Source organism: Homo sapiens, chromosome 11 (assembly GCF_000001405.40).
Source record: "Homo sapiens chromosome 11, GRCh38.p14 Primary Assembly".
Taxonomy (NCBI): Eukaryota; Metazoa; Chordata; class Mammalia; order Primates; family Hominidae; genus Homo; species Homo sapiens.
In genome coordinates, this window is record NC_000011.10 from 995,259 (window position 1) to 1,012,300 (window position 17,042).

The 17,042-nt window shown below is 55.2% G+C and overlaps 1 protein-coding gene across 12 annotated transcripts in view; it reads left to right on the plus strand.

The window, feature by feature from the left end:
* The window catches only part of AP2A2 (adaptor related protein complex 2 subunit alpha 2), an 86,371-nt gene extending 69,389 nt beyond the window's left edge, over positions 1-16,982 (plus strand). For 9 of the 12 annotated variants that reach the window (XM_047426480.1, XM_047426479.1, NM_001242837.2 and 6 more), the window contains 8 exons: positions 5,174-5,340; positions 8,464-8,546; positions 11,270-11,359; positions 12,754-12,877; positions 13,842-13,958; positions 14,070-14,139; positions 14,425-14,559; positions 15,290-16,982. In XM_047426480.1, coding sequence (XP_047282436.1) covers positions 5,174-5,340; positions 8,464-8,546; positions 11,270-11,359; positions 12,754-12,877; positions 13,842-13,958; positions 14,070-14,139; positions 14,425-14,559; positions 15,290-15,367 — 864 coding nt within the window. In that variant the 3' untranslated portion in view covers positions 15,368-16,982. Of the gene's footprint in view, positions 1-843; positions 936-5,173; positions 5,341-8,463; positions 8,547-11,269; positions 11,360-12,753; positions 12,878-13,841; positions 13,959-14,069; positions 14,140-14,424; positions 14,560-15,289 lie in introns of those variants that run through there. The other 3 variants (NR_144510.2, NR_144509.2, XM_011519930.4) reach the window with 2 other exon arrangements.

A 17,042-nucleotide genomic window follows, 5' to 3' on the forward strand; every position in this document is an offset into this window, starting at 1 on the left:
GGGTTAGGTCTGGTTTTCCTTGTATGTGTGATGCGATGAGAATAATCCTGTAACAGAATGTGTCCTGTGGTATTTGTCAGGTGAGAAGTGTCGTTTTGAGAGTTGCGTTTTTGCTTGGCTCTGCTTGCCAGCTGTTCCCCTCTGCACTGTCAGGGAGGGCTCCTGTCGGGGTCAGGCGGGCTTTCTGTTTGTCCAGTTAGAGGACCTGTCTCTCCAGGACGCAGGTCCAGTGGTGGCAACCAGTGCTGCTACCCAGTATCGGCAGGGCTTTGTGGGGTGAGCTCCTGTGGTGGTGCCTGCCCTGGCAGTGTGCTGGTTGGGAGGGTGCTCATGTCGGAGTCCTGGCACTCCTTGGCGGGGACCTGCTTATGTGCCCCGGCTGACCATGTGTCCTGCCCCTCTGGCCGACAGTGCAGGGCCTGCCATGGGGCTGGTATCCAGGCTGAGCCTGACATCTCAATGAGCAGTCTTCCCTCCCCCTCTTCCTCCCTCTCCCCTCCCTCCACCTAGTGTCCTCTGTGCAGCCCCTGTCCCCCCGTGCCCTCTCTCTGTGTTGTTTGTGGCACGCTGCTGTGCCCGCCATCTGGAGGCTTGAATTGCCTGTGAGCTCATCCTGGAGTGAATGAAATGAATGAAAGATGTGACTCTTTCTCCCAAGGTGGGCGTCTTCCCTTCACGCCTGAGCACCTTCATGCTTATGTTTCTCATGTGCTCTGTAGAGCTGGTGACCTGCTTTTGACCCTGTCTCCTCCCGTGGGACGTCACTAGCCAGGCGCCTAGTGCAGCAGGCCTCTGTCACTCCTCTAATCCATCTCTCCCTCTCCTTTGGACATCTTGACATAGGTTTCTGGAGGCAGAAACTTGCTTGTGGAGATTTGTCTGTGAGCTGCCGGAGCAGGGGCCTTCCCGTGGGTGCTGGGCCGGCAGCGGCTCCGCCCTGCAGAGAGGAGGACGCGGCCCCAGTTGGGTGAGGAGGCGAGGGCAGGATGACGTGATCCAGGGGAGGCTGGTGTGCAGGGATTCCTGGAGGCCGGCTTTCAGCAAGGGCACTGTGAAGTCTTCCACGGAAACCTGGGATTGCCTGTTGGAAGCTGGGAAGGCACCAGGTGCTCTCGCTCCCCTCCAGCTGCTTTGACGTTAAGAGGAACTCGCTGAGGGAGCATGGAAAGGGGCTGTAGGATTGTCTTCAGTCTCTCTTTGGTTCTTATTTGATGTTTCTTTTTAATGTGGGTCCTGAGAAGTGAGGTGTGCCCATACCCCAGGCCTTTGATCACACCCAGGTTTGTCCGGCTAGGCTCAGGGTGGACTTTGGAGGGCCTGGCCTTGACTGTGTGGCTTAGGGATCAGATGGAAGCTTCTGGACCCTGGGAGTGAGAGCAGTGTGCTGCCCTCTGAAAAGGAGGATGAGGGTCCAGTGAGGTTCAGCATTTCTGTAAGGTGCCTTCTTGGAGGGAGTTCCCCCTTCAGGGCTCATTCAGTGGATTTTCTGAGTGTGGCTTCACTCCTGATGGTCAGTGGTGCCTGGCGGGTGGGTTCCTTAGGGAGGTGTCTGTGGCCGAGGCACGCAGCTCTGTTCTGAGCTGAGAGCTGTGGTGTGTGGGCACCTCCGTCCTGACTGAGAGCTGTGGTGTGTGGGCGCCTCCGTCCTGACCGAGAGCTGTGGTGTGTGGGCCCCTCTGTTCTGACCGAGAGCTATGGTGTGTGGGTGTCATTGCTATCCTGTGCTTTCCAATCTGTTCCCATTGCTCACGGGAGCCCCAGTGAGAGGCCCCTCCCTATGGGGAGACACTCCTGGCGAAGTTTTCTTGCTCAGGGTCTTCTGTATGGGCCGTGAAGGGGCCTCAGGGTGGCATCAGCACATGTGCCTTTCCCACGAGAGACAGTGGCTTTATCTTGGTGTCACATTGGCCAAAATGTCTTTTATTTAACATCATAGATGAGGCCAGGACATTTTACTTCTTCCGAGCATCCTCTTTCTGCACACAGCTCCTTGGGGGAGGCTGTGGTGTGCGTGTCCCCGGGTGTGCTGGGGAGCACAGGGGTGTGGGGATCAGAGGCTGCCTGGCTTCACATGCAGGAGCCTGGGGCCCTTGTAGGCAAAACCTTCACCCCTCAAGTTGTCCTGCTATTGGAGGGAGGAGGTGAACTGGTGTGGCCCAGGAGCCAGGCCTGCTCCCTGAGGAGGGTCTCCCAGGCCTGAGAGGATAAGGAAGATGAAGAACCTGAAGTGGGTGTTAGGACCCTACTGTCCTGGGGCCTTGCATCTGGCCTCGCTGTTACAATCTGTGGTAACGTTTCAGGTACAAATGCCTTTACTAGGGCAAAGGGCTTTCCTACTTTAGAAAGCAGTTAAAAGCCATAGATGGCTGGGCATGGTGGCTCACACCTGTAATCCCAGCGCTTTGGGAGGCTGAGGTGGGCGGATCACTTGAGGTCAGGAGTTTGAGACCAGCCTGGCCAACATGGTGAAACCCCGTCTCTTCTAAAAATACAAAAATTAGCCAGGTGTGGTGGTGTGTGCCTGTAATCCCAGCTGCTCGGGAAGCTGAGGCAGGAGAATTGCTTGAACCCAGAAGGCGGAGGTTGCAGTGAGCTGAGATTGCACCACTGCACTCCAGCCTGGGTAACAGAGTGAGACTCGGTCTCAAAAAAATAAAATAAAATAAAATAAAAGCCATAGATGTATTTGAATCAGTGCAGGAACCAGGGTAACATCTGTGATGAGATGCAGAGGAGAAACTGTCTCCATTTGGGCTGCAGGTGCATGGCCATGGCCAAGGCCGATGGCTTCCCACGCAGCTCACAGCTTTGTCAGGCTGTGGAGGCCACAGTGTTGGCGGGCGCTGTCCCCGGCGTAGGGAGCAAAGCGCCGCCTTCAGATGGTCTCATCGAGACACGCCTTGGATATTTTTGGGACTCTTCTCTGCCAGCTCCTCTGTGACCTCCCACCCTTGGAGCACATGAGACCCGTGTCGTCTTCTCTTGCAGAGGTGCTCCGTCACAAGAGCAGAGCCTGGGAGCCTGCCCCGTTTCTGACTGCCCCCCAATCCCCATTCTGACTCTCACCCGCCCCCATTCTGACCCCCCGCCCCCATTCTGACCTGCACCTTTTTTGCATAACACACTTTGTGATGCCTCATTTATCTTTGAGTAAAATTCATATATCACAAACCCACACATGTAGTTTTTTTGAAAGTACAGTGTGACACCTTAACTTTGCATTAATGTAAAATGGCATTCAGGTGGAGTCTCAGATAATTACAAACTAATTTTTTACCTTCTTAGATGTCCAGTGGAACATTCTAAAGTTACTCAAGACGAATCTTCAAGTTAGGGTGTCTTGTGTCTCTGTTTTTTGCCTGTGAAATGCCAATATCCTTGTGATAGTCAGAGCCCTCCACATCTCCAGAACGCTCTTAGCTGGGTGGGGGGTTTCTCCACCAAGAGCCCCTGGTGTATAGTGTCAAAGTGTGAGTGTTGCCAGGCTGTAGTTCAGTGGTACGATCTTGGCTCACTGCAATCTCCGCCTCCTGGTTTCAGTTCTCCTGCCTCCACCTCCTGAGTAGCTGGGATTACAGGCGTGTGCCACCACACCCAGCTAATTTTTGTATTTTTAGTAGAGACGGGGTTTCACCATGTTGGCCAGGATGGTCTCAATCTTCTGACCTTGGGATCTGCCCCCCTCGGCCTCCCAAAGTGCTGGGATTACAGGTGTGAGCCACCGTGCCAGGCTGGGTGTCCTTTTTATAGGGAGCATCTGAGTCCCTCTGGTGCACAGGCTGCTGTGGGGCAGGACCCGTGGAGCCCAGAGCAGGTCTGAGCTCCCAAAGTCAGGCTGCTGGGGCATTGCTGGGGAGCCTGCTGCCCTGTTGGATGGGTGAGCATGCGATGGACTGAGCTGCTGCTTGTGCCCTGTTGTGAGAGTTTAATCATGAGATCATAGGCGCTCTTTCCTTGTGCCTTTGCCCCAGGATCAAAGAGCAATTACTGGGGCCGGGTGCGGTGGCTCATGGGAGGCCGAGGTGAACGTATCACCTGAGGTCAAGAGTTCGAGACCAACCTGGCCAACATGGTGAAACCCTGTCTCCACTGAAAATACAAAAATTAACTGGGCGTGATGGCGGCCACCTGTAATCCCAGCTACTTGGGAGGCTGAGGCAGGAGAATCGCTTGAGGTGGAGGTTGCAGTGAGCCCACACCAGTGCACTCCAGCCTGGGCAATAGAGTGAGACTGTCTCAAAAAAAACAAAAACAGAGACAGTCTCTTGCTATGTTGCCCAGGCTAGTTTTAAACTCCTGGACTCAAGCAGTCTTTCTGTCTCAACCTTCCAAAGTGCTGGGATTACAGGTGTGGGGCACCATGCCCAGCCAAAAAGCAATTATTTTTTAAAAGTATCCGTTCTGTAGACTTTTAATGATTAATAATGATTTAGTAATAATTTAATGATTAATAATGCACCCGAGTAAGTTATTTGCTTTTTCATCTTTGGAAGCTTACTTTCTTATTGGACAGTTGGCAGTAACATGCATGATCTTAGTTCTTTCTTTTTTTTTTTTTTTTTTGAGATGGAGTCTCGCTCTGTCGCCCAGGCTGGAGTGCCGTGGTGCGATCTCGGCTCACTGCAAGCTCCGCCTCCCGGGTTCACACCATTCTCCTGCCTCAGCCTCCCGAGTAGCTGGGACTACAGGCGCCCACCACCACGCCCGGCTAATTTTTTTTGTATTTTTTAGTAGAGATGGGGTTTCACCGTGTTAGCCAGGGTGGTCTCGATCTCCTGACCTCGTGATCCGCCCACCTCGGCCTCCCAAAGTGCTGGGATGACAGGTGTGAGCCACCGCGTCTGGCCTTTTTTTATGTCTTTCATGGCAAAATTTTTTTGAGAATTTTTTTCATTCAAATAGCATTTGTGAAAAAATGTAGGGTGCCTTAGTGAAATTATGACTGATGTTTTAAGTGCAGTTATCTTTAGGCTGGAGTCTGGGATATACTCAGGAAGTGGCTGTTAGCCCTCACTCTCTGGTCACTCACTGAGTTGTGTGCCACCTGCCCCAGCCACTGGGAGTGCATGGATGCCAAGGGGGTGCCATGGGGGAGGACGTGCAGGCGTGAGCTGCCTGGGGTTGGCCAGGCCAGGGAGGCTCTCTGCTGATGCTCTCCTTCCTTCTCTTCCAGTCTACGCCTTCTCCGTCGGCAGACCTGCTGGGTCTCGGGGCTGCCCCCCCTGCCCCCGCGGGCCCCCCACCCTCCTCCGGCGGCAGCGGGCTGCTCGTGGACGTGTTCTCAGACTCGGCCTCTGTGGTCGCGCCTCTCGCTCCTGGCTCCGAAGACAACTTTGCCAGGTAGTCAGGTTTCCTGAGTCCTGCAGACAGGCACGGGGCTGCCGTGCCCCCTGACTTCTGGTGTGGCCGCGGCCAGCTGGACAGAGGTGGGCAGCGGAGTTTACCTCCCAGATTACTGCCTGGGGGAGAGAGCGGGAGCTGCTGTGTTGTGGGTGGGTTTGCTGTGTCATTCCTCTCACAACCTTGATTTATATGGACTGCAGTGTTCATTACTCTCAGGAGGAAAAGGAGGACATGAAAGAAACACACTGTCTGGGTGGTGGTTGTGTCCTGTCTGCACGGTGATGTCCGATCATGTTTCAGCTGCTGTTTGAGTGTTGATAAACACTCTTTGTAGCTACACGTCTCCTCTCTTCGCCTCTTTCCTGTCTAGTTGGGCTGCTTTTCATTCTGACTTAAGCCGTCTTGTCTGTGTCTGTCCTGGAGGCCCGGTCTCTTGTCCTTGAGTTGCTCACTTGCTAAGTCCTTCTGTGAGGCCCACCCTGCTCACGCCTTCGGCCTCCACCCTGTGGTTCCCCCTGAGGGCAGCCTGTCTTTGCTGCTTGTCCTGCTCTAATTTCTGTCCGGTGCCTGGGCACCTCCCGGCTCCCTGTGTGCAGTGGTCTCTGCCAGTGTCTCCGTGGTCTTCAGATCGTCGGTGCTGACCACTTTCCCCCGCACGTGCTCTCCCCAGCCCTCTCTGCTGGGCTCATCAGCTGTGCATTCCGCTTACTGGCTGCTCTCAGCCATCTGCTTGTTTTCATGTCTGGCCGGAGGTCTGAGGTGCCCCCTTTCCTGGAGTTGACGCCTCTCCCCTGCTGCCCTGTGGGGTGGGAGCGCAGGTGCCGGTTTCTGTCCCAGATGGAGGTTAGAGAGCCTTTGAGGAATGGCCTTTTGGCCCCCCATTTTGAAGACTGTAATAGAGTTCTGGTGTTTTTCAGTTCTTTGTATTCATGTTGCACGTGAGTTCTGTTTCCTGTTACGTGTTGGGAAAGGACTTAGGAGAGGCAGGCCGGCGTGGTGGTGGGTGCAGGTCGCCGCTTGGGCTGAAAACAGTCTTACTGCTCTTAGAGTCGCTGTGTTTGAGATTGAGAATCCAGGTTGCAGGGCTCTGGTGGTGGCTGCTCCTCAGTGTCTTGGTGGCAGGAAGGGACCAGGGGCTGGGCAGTCCGTGGCAGCCGTGGCCCTTCCCTGCTGGGCGCTGCCTGCCCTGTCTCCATACGGCTGTGCTGGGAGCTGCACATGGCCCTTGTGCACGCCTCACATTGGGTGGCGCTGTCTGCAGCTGGCCAGGCCTCGGGGCTCTTGTGCATGCGGCCGTCTTGGCTTTGATCTGGCTACAGAGGGTCATCAGGTGTCTGCGTGTGTTTGGTGTAGGATGGAGGCACAGAGTGCCTCAGGGCGAGCCGGCTGTGGTGGCTGCTGGCACACGGCTCACAGGACAGGGCGGCTGCATTCTCATGGCCTTGCAGAGTGGTTTGCATTTTCCCCAAAGATTCCTCCAGGCCAGGTTGTAGTTGGGATGAACCAAGCAGAGATACTGACCACAAGGGCCTCTCTGTCACGTCATGGGTGGTCCGTCAGAGCCCCTCCCGTGTTCTTGACAGATTTTACTTTAAAGTGGCTTAGTCCACACCCTGAGTGTAAACTCCGTGGCCCCTCGCGTGGAGTGCCCGCTGGCTGTGGGCGGAGCAGCGACCCGGGGGTGCGGTGAGCACGTGGACCTCCGCCTCGGCCGGCTCCTCCTGTTAAGCGATCTCTGCTTTGTTAGCCGCCTGCTGTGAGCAGTCCCAGGTGAAGCCCAGTAGACATGTTCCAGGCTGTGTTGTGGATCGCTGTCCTGTGTTGTGTGTTGCTTAGACCACACTTGACTTTTTGAAGCTTCGCATGTGGCTGCAGCCGGACCAGCAGCCTGCCGGGCTGTGCAGGGGGCGGCTGTGGCCTCCAGAGGTGTGCGCAGGGACTGCTGCCTCAGCGGCTCTCGTGGCCGTGGCAGGCTGGAGTGGGGCATTGCGTGGCGAGCAGCGCCCTCCTGGCCCCAAGAGCGAGCCAAGGGCCGCCTGTCACTGCCCCTTGCCGTCTGTTGCTGCTTCCTCTGTCTTCCTGGCCTGGTCTCCATACAGCAGGATGCCGATGAGAAGGTTGGCAGCACTCAGACCTTCCAGGGTGGCAGCTGTGGTGCAGTTAGTGGAGACTGGCTGCAGGAGTGGCTGACCTTGATCGCCGCCATGTCAGCACAGGTGGAGGTGGAGATTTCAGAATTAGGCTGCTGCCGTGCAGCATTTGCTTCTTAGGCACTGGGGTGGGTTGGAGGGAGGGGGCGGTGCCATGACCTCCTGCCTCCCCACCCTGTGGTTTGAATCAGTGCCACATCCATCTCTGTGCTGGGTTCACCCAGGAGCCCTGTGCCACTGCCCCGCCTCCCTCTCCTCTCTTTTGGATCTAGGTCACTGTGGAGTTACAGTTTCCTAGAGGAGGTCAGAAAACTTGAAGCTCTTCTGAGAGAAACACAAATGAAAGCTAACCAACGCTATTTTATTTTCCCCTAATTCTGTGTAGTGTAGATAGGTGCCCTGTGGTGAGCAAAACCCTGGGCTCCCTGTGCGGTGTAGACACTAACCACGCATGGGGCGAGAGGAGAGGCCAGAGGGGAGATGGGGGCGCCCAGGGCCCTGCAGGGCTGTGCTGCTGGTGGGTGGATGGCTGGGTGCCCGTGCATGCGTGTGCATCAGCGGGGAGCAGCCAGGCTCTGATGGCGAGGCCCTCGCTGGGTGGAAGCTCAGCACCCGTGTTGGATGGAGTCTGTGGTGGGGCCAGAAGCTGTGTGCGTGCCTCACGCCCGTGTCCCTTCTGGGGCCGTGAGAGGCCGTTACATGTGGACCAGCATGTTCCTGAAAAGCAGCTGCACCAACCAACTTCACAGGTCTTGCCGGGGCTGTGTCCGCGTCCCTGCGTCCTGCTCACCGTCCTCCTCCAGTGGCTGTTTGTCAGGATAGTCCTTGGAATAGTTTCCACTTTTTTCTTCCCTTGTGTGCCATAGAGGTTTTTCTGGCCTCCTCGTGCTGTGAGTTTTTTTCCAGAACAAACCCTTGTGTTTTCTGCAGGTGGCTTTGAGTGACACATATACTGTCCCTTTTCCCCTAGGTTTGTTTGTAAAAACAATGGTGTGTTGTTTGAAAACCAGCTGCTTCAAATTGGACTTAAGTCTGAATTTCGGCAGAATTTAGGTATGTGTTTTAATTACTTAATGAAACTGTCTCTTAGAAATATGGGAAATTAAGAGAAAATATTTGCAAATCATATACTTATAAGGGATAGATATCCAGAATATAAAAAGAACTCCCATAACTCAGTAAGAAAGCAGCCCAATTAAAAAATGGGCAAAAGAACAGCCTGGGCAAACACATCAAGACCCCATCTCTACAACCAGAGGGGGTGGCGGGGAGGTGGGGGTGGGTGCAAAGTTGTTGAAAAGACGACATTCTCCAGGGAAAATACAGGAATGCTCAATAAGCACCTGAAAAGATGGACAAAGTCACGAGGGAAGTGCCAATCAAAACCACAGTGAGCTACCACCTCACCCCTCCAGGATGGCTGTTAGAAAACAAACAAGCAGCCTGTGCAGTGGCTCACGCTTGTAACCCCAGCATGTTGGGAGGCCGAGGCAGGCAGATCACTTGAGGCCAGGAGTTCGAGACTGGCCTGGCTAACATGGTGAAACCCTGTCTCTAATAAAAATACAAAAATTAGCTGGGTGTAGTGGTGTGTGCCTGTGGTCCCAGCTACTTGGGAGGCTGAGGCAGGAGAATCACTTGAACCTGGGAGGCGGAGGTTGCAGTGAGCCAAGATCATGCCACTGCACTACAGCCTGGGCAACAGAGTGAGACTCTGTAAATAAATAAATAAACAGACTGGCCTGGTGGCCTGGTGACTTAGGCCTATAATTCCAGCACTTTGGGAGGCCGAGGTGGGAGGGTCACTTGAGCCCAGGTGTTTGAGACCAGCCTGCACAACATTGTGAGACCCCATCTCTACAAAAAATACAAAAATTAGGTAGACGTGCTGGTGCACACCTGTGGTCCCAGCTACTTGGGAGGCAAAGGTGGGAGGATCGCTTGAGCCCAGGTGTTTGAGGCTGCAGTGAGCTGAGATCTTGCCACTGCACTGCAGCCTGGGCAACAGAGCGAGACCCTGTCGTTCATTCATTCATTCATAAATAATGCATACATCATTATTTATGTATGCATAAATAACCAAAAAGGAAAAAGAGTGTCTGCAGGGCGTGGTGACGTTGGAGCCTTGTACGCCGCTGGTGGGAATGTACAGTAGTGCGGGCACTGTGGGAAGTTCCTCAGAACACAAAAGAAGATGGAATTACTCTGTGACCCAGCAGTTCCACGTCTGGGTACAGACCCCAGAGAATTGAAAGCTGGGTCTTAAAGAGGTACCTGTCCACCCATGTCCAATGGCAGCACTATTCACAATCACCGAAAGTTAGAAACAGCCCAGATGTTCATGGGTGGATGCCTAATTAAACGAAATGTGGTCTGTCGACGCAGTGGAATATTATTCAGCCATCAAACGGCAGAAAGGAATGAAATTCTGATGCATAAAGCAGCACACATGCACCTTGAGGACATGGTGCTCAGTGACACGGGCCAGACACCTGGACAAATCCTGTGTGGCTCCACTCATGCGGTCCCTAGAGCAGTGACTTCGTAGAGACAGAACGTAGCTGGGGGATGCCAGGGCCTAGGCCAGGGGGATGGGGAATTGGTGTTTAATGGGGACAGAGTTCCGTTTGGGAAGATGAGAACGTTCTGGAGATGGTGGTGGTGGCAGCAGCTGCACAGTGTGGATGCACTTCCTGTGCCCTTGTGTGCACCTAAATATGGCTAGGAAGGTGAATGTTAGTGTATTTTACCACAATTTAGGAGAAAGACATAAAAAAGCCTTTGAGTGTAAAAAAATGCTGTGCACGGAACCCTGTGGCTGCAGGGGCCCTGGCTGCGGACCTGCCTCCTCTCAGCGCCTGCCTTGAGCCTCCTCAGGACTGCTCTCTCTCTCATCTGTGAAAAACACAGAAAGAATGTGAAAAAAGAGAATTAGTCCTCTGCCCGCCAGGGGTCTGTTAGAAAAGTGAGGGTTGTCAGAGTGATTCCTGTGGGAAACGCTGCATTGAAAACAGGTGGTGCCTTTAGTCCTGGTTTAAGTTTTTAAGCTCTGGGCCGTGATAGCTTCACGAGGTGTTGGTTTTGGGTTTTTAAATTGTGGGAGGAGTGATGCCAAACTGTTTACTGTTTTCAAAATATTTGAGATTTCCTTTCTGAATTCAAGGGGTATACAGATGTTCACAAAGATTTTTTACTGTGATATAAATAAAAACAGCGACACATCCTAAATGTGCACCTGTGCCGTGGCTGAGCCGCTGCAGTGAGGGCTAGTGTGCAACACCGATGCTGTGCTGGACGCGTGCCCAGCCGGGTCCCCTGACAGGAGGCAGCCGGGGCCGGTGCGTGTGTTTGCATGTTGCAGTCATGGGGCGGGGCCGGCAGAGGCCTGTGTGATTGTGGCGTCCCTGGAAAAGATGCTTGGCAGGCCCCTCCAGCTGTAGCCCAGCCTGCAGACGGGGCGTTCTGTGGGTCCTTCCCCGTGCATATGCGTGTGATCTCACCCATCCCGTGTGGGTGCGCAGGAGGGGCCGAGGGAGGAGGGTGCTGGAGGGCGGAAGTTACCTCTGACTGGAGGAGATACCCGGCCCGTGTTACCAGCACTGGTGTGCTCGTTCTAAAACTGGAAAAAATTTGTTCTTAATTTTAACAACAGTCATACATCACAACAGTGAACTTAAATTCAGCTGAAGATTGTGGGGGGCTCTTGTTTTTCAGGGTAAATATTCAGGGTAAGTGTGAAATGGTGTGTGTGAAAAAATTGTTTTTGTTCCTTCTAGGTCGGATGTTTATCTTTTATGGTAATAAGACCTCCACGCAGTTCCTAAACTTTACCCCAACACTAATCTGTTCAGACGACCTTCAGCCTAATATCCTTGGCTTCATTGCCCCATGCCCGCAGACAGCATAATGTGGGGCTTAGAGGAGGCTTTTGAGGAAGTTTTTTGGTTTTCTTATTTTGTTAAAATAGCGAGATAATTCCAGATGCTATATGAAAATCAGGCAGTCGTAATCTGCCTATGGTGCTGGGCAGGAGAAGGAAAACAGGCAGTCTTCCATATTGGAGAGCCAGCTTTTGATCATGCACCTAAAAATACCGTGTACATGCCTCCTCCCCTTCCATCTGGCCAGTGTGAGTCCCTTTCCTTTTCACCTGCTCTTACTCTCCTGTGACGTGATCTTTAAACCCCTCCTCTCCGAAGCCTCACAGAGCTGCTGCTTGCAGAGTGTGGGAGGCGCCAGTGGGGACTGGAGCGCGGTGCGCACCCCAGCCGAGCTTGTGTGTGCTTCTGGCAGAGCTTTTAGACTGAAGATTTTCCCTTCGTAATGCCAGAAGCGTTCCTAGAACTTCCCCAGCTAAAACAGGGAGACGCTAACGTCTCTACCTCTAAGGATAGGCCCGCCAAATAGAGTTAGCGTGAAGACCCCAGCTTGACCAGAGATGGTGACACCTGGGGATTTATGGTCAGCGACCTGAGTGAAGCAACATCCTCCTTGCCACTGGCTGGTCTGTTCATTTTAACATGAACATGTTTTAATGCAGACTGTTCAAGCTGTTTCAAAACAGTCATTAAAAATACACATGCAGGAGCACCTGTATTAAAGACTTTGTTTGGAATCTGGAGTGGAAGCTCTGACTCCTACTGCGCCCTTCTTTAGGGGTCTCTCCCTCGGGGTCCACTTGGCTCGAGGCGGCAGCGAGCCCAGCAGCTGAGTGGCCGGCGGCACACGACCCAGAGGGAAGGAGAGGCCTGCACCCCGCTGCCTCCTGGACCCAGCTTTGCTGCTGTCACTGTTTCTTCAGGAGAGGCTGTAGGCAAACCCTTGTTTTCCAGCATGAAAACAACCCTGGTCCCAGCAGGGCAGGCTCTTTTCTGTGTCTCGCTGTTTCAGGAGCCTGCTATTCCTGGGATTCTTAAAGTTTTCCTGCCCTACTAAGCACCAGTTTCTGCTAACGGTGACAAAAATTGTGTGTGTAAGACCCAGAGCCGAGGCTCAGAGTGAAAACAGACAAGTAGTATATAATCTAAGTGACTTTTTAAAATGGAGGAGCCATTCTGGAAGCGTGAGAAGCAGACAGTGTTTTGAGGATTGTCTGGGTGGAAGGGCAGGGCCGGGTGGTGTGGCTGCCCTCGACCCGTAGCTGGTGGTCCTAGAGTGTGGTGAGTGTGCTCGCCTCCACGGGTCCTGCTGGGGCTCTAGCCCGGCCCGTTTCCGCTTCTGCCACTGGGACTTGCTCAGCTGGATTCCTTAACGCACGCACACCTGAACCTGCAGACCAAGCCCGTGGACCCGACCGTGGAGGGGGGCGCGCAGGTGCAGCAGGTGGTCAACATAGAGTGCGTGTCCGACTTCACGGAGGCGCCAGTCCTCAACATTCAGTTCAGGTAAGAGCCGCCTGTGCGCCCCGGGCCAAGGGGTGTGTGGGCGCCTGAGCTGTGTGCCTGGGCTCCATGACTGTGCCTCCGTGTCCTTCCTGAGGGGACCCGGGGCGTGCGGGTGCTCACGGTGCATGGATGCGGCCTGAGCTATTGCTGCCCCCGGCTCTGCAGAGCGCAGGAAACAAGGGGAGGCGGAGCCCTGGGCTCCGGGACGGCAGGTGGCAGCTCCCACATGGGGCCTTGCTAGGATCTTTCTGGGCACCATGGGGCCCACCTCATGGGGTGGCAGACAGCCAGGGCCCCCGCGCCACCTGCCCGGCTTGGTACCAGACGACAGCTGTGGGGTGCAGGCAGCTGGTTTCCTTCGGCCCCCTGGCCTGGGGGGCGCGTTTTTTGCTCAGTTGAGCTCAGATCGTACCACTTTGCTTATTTTTTAAAAGCATAGGATTTTCCTGTTGCGACTGTTCATTACTCTCACTTTTCAGTGACTACAAATAGCGTGGATACAGTCAGCCCGTCCCCTGCTGGGTGTCTGCAAGGTTAGGAATGTTGAGAAAAGCACACTTTCTAACATTAAAAAGACAGAGAACTTAAGATTGTATACTGTAGAATTCGGGGACATAGACATGCAAGTTTTTGTTTCATTCTTTGTGCAAATGCCTTTGCCTTTTTAAAGAAAAAACATCACACTATTTGCACAGACTTGGAGTTCTGGGAAACAGATGAATGGGGAGAAGTGAGGCACAGGGACGTCCTGCCTGAGTATGCGGCCCTGGCCTGTCCTCCTGTCTGTGGGTGACACTGGACACTGAGCCACACACGATCCGTGGGGACTGAAGGCTCGGCCCCCCGACCCGCTCTGGTGGGTGGCAGTAGATCGGGACGCTTCTCACTCCAGGCTCTTTCCCGGTCCCTGGGGCTCTCAGAGGAGTAGCTGACTGTCTCTTTCTGCTGCTGCTGCTGCTGGCAGGTATGGGGGCACCTTCCAGAACGTGTCTGTGCAGCTGCCCATCACTCTCAACAAATTCTTCCAGCCGACAGAAATGGCTTCTCAGGATTTCTTTCAACGTTGGAAGCAGTTGAGCAAGTGAGAAACCTGTTTCCTGTAGGGGTCAGGGGTGGGGACGGGGCTCATTTGAAAAGGTGGGTTTTGGTCTCTGGCCTGGCTGAGAACACTCGCCTTTGCTGTTTCTCACAGTCCACAGCAGGAAGTGCAGAACATCTTCAAAGCAAAGCACCCAATGGACACAGAAGTCACCAAAGCCAAGGTAACACGTCTGGAGGGACGGCCCCGGGGGACACGCAGCCCGTGACCCCGCGCCAGGGTCTGGAGGGACGGCCCCGGGGAACACGCAGCCCATGACCCCGCGCCAGGGTCTGGAGGGACGGCCCCGGGGGACACGCAGCCCGCGACCCAGCGCCAGGGTCTGGAGGGGCGGCCCCGGGGGACACGCAGCCCACGACCCAGCGCCAGGGTCTGGAGGGGCGGCCCCGGGGGACACGCTGCCCGCGACCCCGCGCCAGGGTCCTCATTCTCCTGTTTCTTTGGACAGATCATTGGATTTGGTTCTGCACTTCTTGAAGAAGTTGATCCTAATCCTGCGAATTTCGTGGGAGCTGGAATCATCCACACGAAAACCACCCAGATTGGATGCCTGCTGCGCTTGGAGCCGAACCTGCAAGCCCAGGTCAGGCCCTCAGGAAATGGTGGAACACACTTGAGTTGCTTTTTATTCTGGCACAATGTACGTGGTGAGATGTGTAGCTCTTTAGTGCAGTTCAGTCAGTTTTGACAGATGTTGTTTAACCACCACCCTGTCAATACATGGTTGCCTCCCAGCCTCCCCGCAGCTGGCCACCGTGGAGCATCATCCCTAGTGCAGTTCAGTCAGTTGTGACAGATGTTGTGTGCCTGTTTAACCACCACCCTGTCAATACATGGTTGCATCCCAGCCTCCCCACAGCTGGCCACCGTGGAGCATCGTCCCACCATGGAGCAGCCTGGCCCTGGGCGGTGGCTCTCCCAGCTGTTCCTCTCTGTCACCGCGTTGTTCCTTCTCACCACGTCCCGTTCTGGCGACGGACACCTGTCTCCGTTTCACTTGGGTGGCACCCAGGAGTGCTGCTGTCGCCCAGGGCCTGTGTGTGGTTAGTGCTGCAAGAACATCCCACAGCTTCTCCAGGTGGCCGTGCCACTTTGCACTCCCGCCAGCTACGTACGAGACGCCAGGCGCTCCCATGCCAGCCCTCAGTTTTCATGCTGACAGTGTGTGTGGTGCTCAGGCCTCTGCCGAGTTGTGGGTGCCTCCAGAGAGTGGTCCCTGGGCATGGCCCACAGGGTTCTGCATGGCGGATCCTGGACCCGAGGGCTGTGTGAGCCTCGGCGTGCCCGTTGACCTGCTGTGCTCTCTGTTTCAGATGTACCGGCTCACGCTGCGCACAAGTAAGGAAGCCGTTTCTCAGAGATTATGTGAATTGCTCTCAGCGCAGTTTTAGTCCTGAGGATGGAAGACCAGGCTCGTGTGTCTTGTGTTGTCTTCGTCTGTGCCGTTTGTCTTCGTGGCCATCCTGCAGATGAGCACCGTGTCCAGTGCCACAGCACAAGGCGCCTCCCCGCCCCGCCGCCCCACACCTCTCCCCTTTGGGCTGGACGGGAACACACGTGTGTGGCTCAGGAGGAAAAGCTCAGCCTGGACTGTGGCAGCCACGGCAGAAGGTGGATCTTGGGATCAATTTTTATAAAAATCGAGACAGTTCTGTGGTTAAATCTACAAATTAAAGGGAAATTAGAAGTTGGCGTGAACGTGGCGTTTGTGGGAGTGTCACTGAGATGGCCCGTGCTGCCGCCCACCCCGCCTCGGAGCCTCTGGGAGCAGCAGTGCCACTGTGCATGGCGTGGGCTGAGCCTTGGTGTGTGGCCGTCCTGGTGGCTGCACACCTGGCGTCGTCCTGGGCCCTTGGGAGGAGCACAGCTGACCCTGGTTTTGCTGCAGTCCCAGCTGGACTGTTTTCCCAGGCAGGATTTTAATCTAGAATTTAGAAACATTTGTATTTGTAATGACTTCTGGCAAAAGCACGTGTCCTGGCCGGATGTAACTGTTCTCCTTTCCCAGCTCCTGTTTGTGAAGGGCGTCTGTTATGCTCCTGCAGTCGCCGAGGCCTTGGATGTGCAGCCAGGGGAGGAGCGTCCTGCCGGCCCCGCAGGGCCCCCAGGACTCCAGGGTAAAGTGTGGGCCGGTGGCGCAAGACTCAGAGGTGTGCTCGTCTCTTTCCTGTCAGAGTGGGCGTCCCCAGGCCACGGTGCAGGCCTGAGTCCTTCCACCGGCCCCGTCCAGTCGTCCCTGGAGGGGCTGTGGAGGAGGGACGCCTCTGTGTGGTCAGGAAGTGAAGGGGCCATTGGCCGCATGCCATGTGCCACCTGCGGCTTGTGTCTCACCTGTCATCTGGACTCAGCACCCAGGCTGCACGTCTGACACCTGAGAGGCGAGAGAGTGGGGCCGGCCTAGGAGCCAAGGCTGGGGCCTTGCGCTCTGTCCCCAGGATGGTGGCCTTGTTTGTCCTAAACACACCCAGCACAGGTTCTGGCTTCCTGACATGCTGTGGAGGCAGGGAGGGTGGGTGGCCACATGTGCTTGAGGGTTTTCACCCTGGCCCTCAGTTGCCTGCTGTGCGGGTCCCTGGGGCAGCTGCAGGGGCTCATGGACCCATCAGGGTCTCCACAGCTCCCCTGCAGTGTGTGCACCCCACAATGTCTGCGGCTCTTCTTCCGGCGTGTCGGGCTTTGATCACAGCATAGCCACGTCAGTGGCGTGCGCCTCTCGCACAGGCCATTCTGGGTCTGGTGGTGCCAGGTGCCGTGACACGCCGTGCTGGGCTTGTGCTGCAGCTGGGTGGTGTGGCCCTCATTCTCATGTTCCAGCTGCTGGGCAGTGCTCTGCCTGTGTGCTGCGCCTGCAGGCTGCGTGTGCTGCCGTGGATCTCCTGCATCCCTTGACCCCTCCCGCCATCAGAGGAAAGGCTGCTCCCCGAGGCACCGCTTCCCTGTGCGGCGCTGCAGAGGGGCCCTCAGTGTGGCACTCCTCGTCAAAGAAAAATAAAGGCTAGAACTGCACCCCGGATCACGCGCTTTCTTTGGGGGGAAAGCATCCCATGTAACCCTCATAGCTCCCCG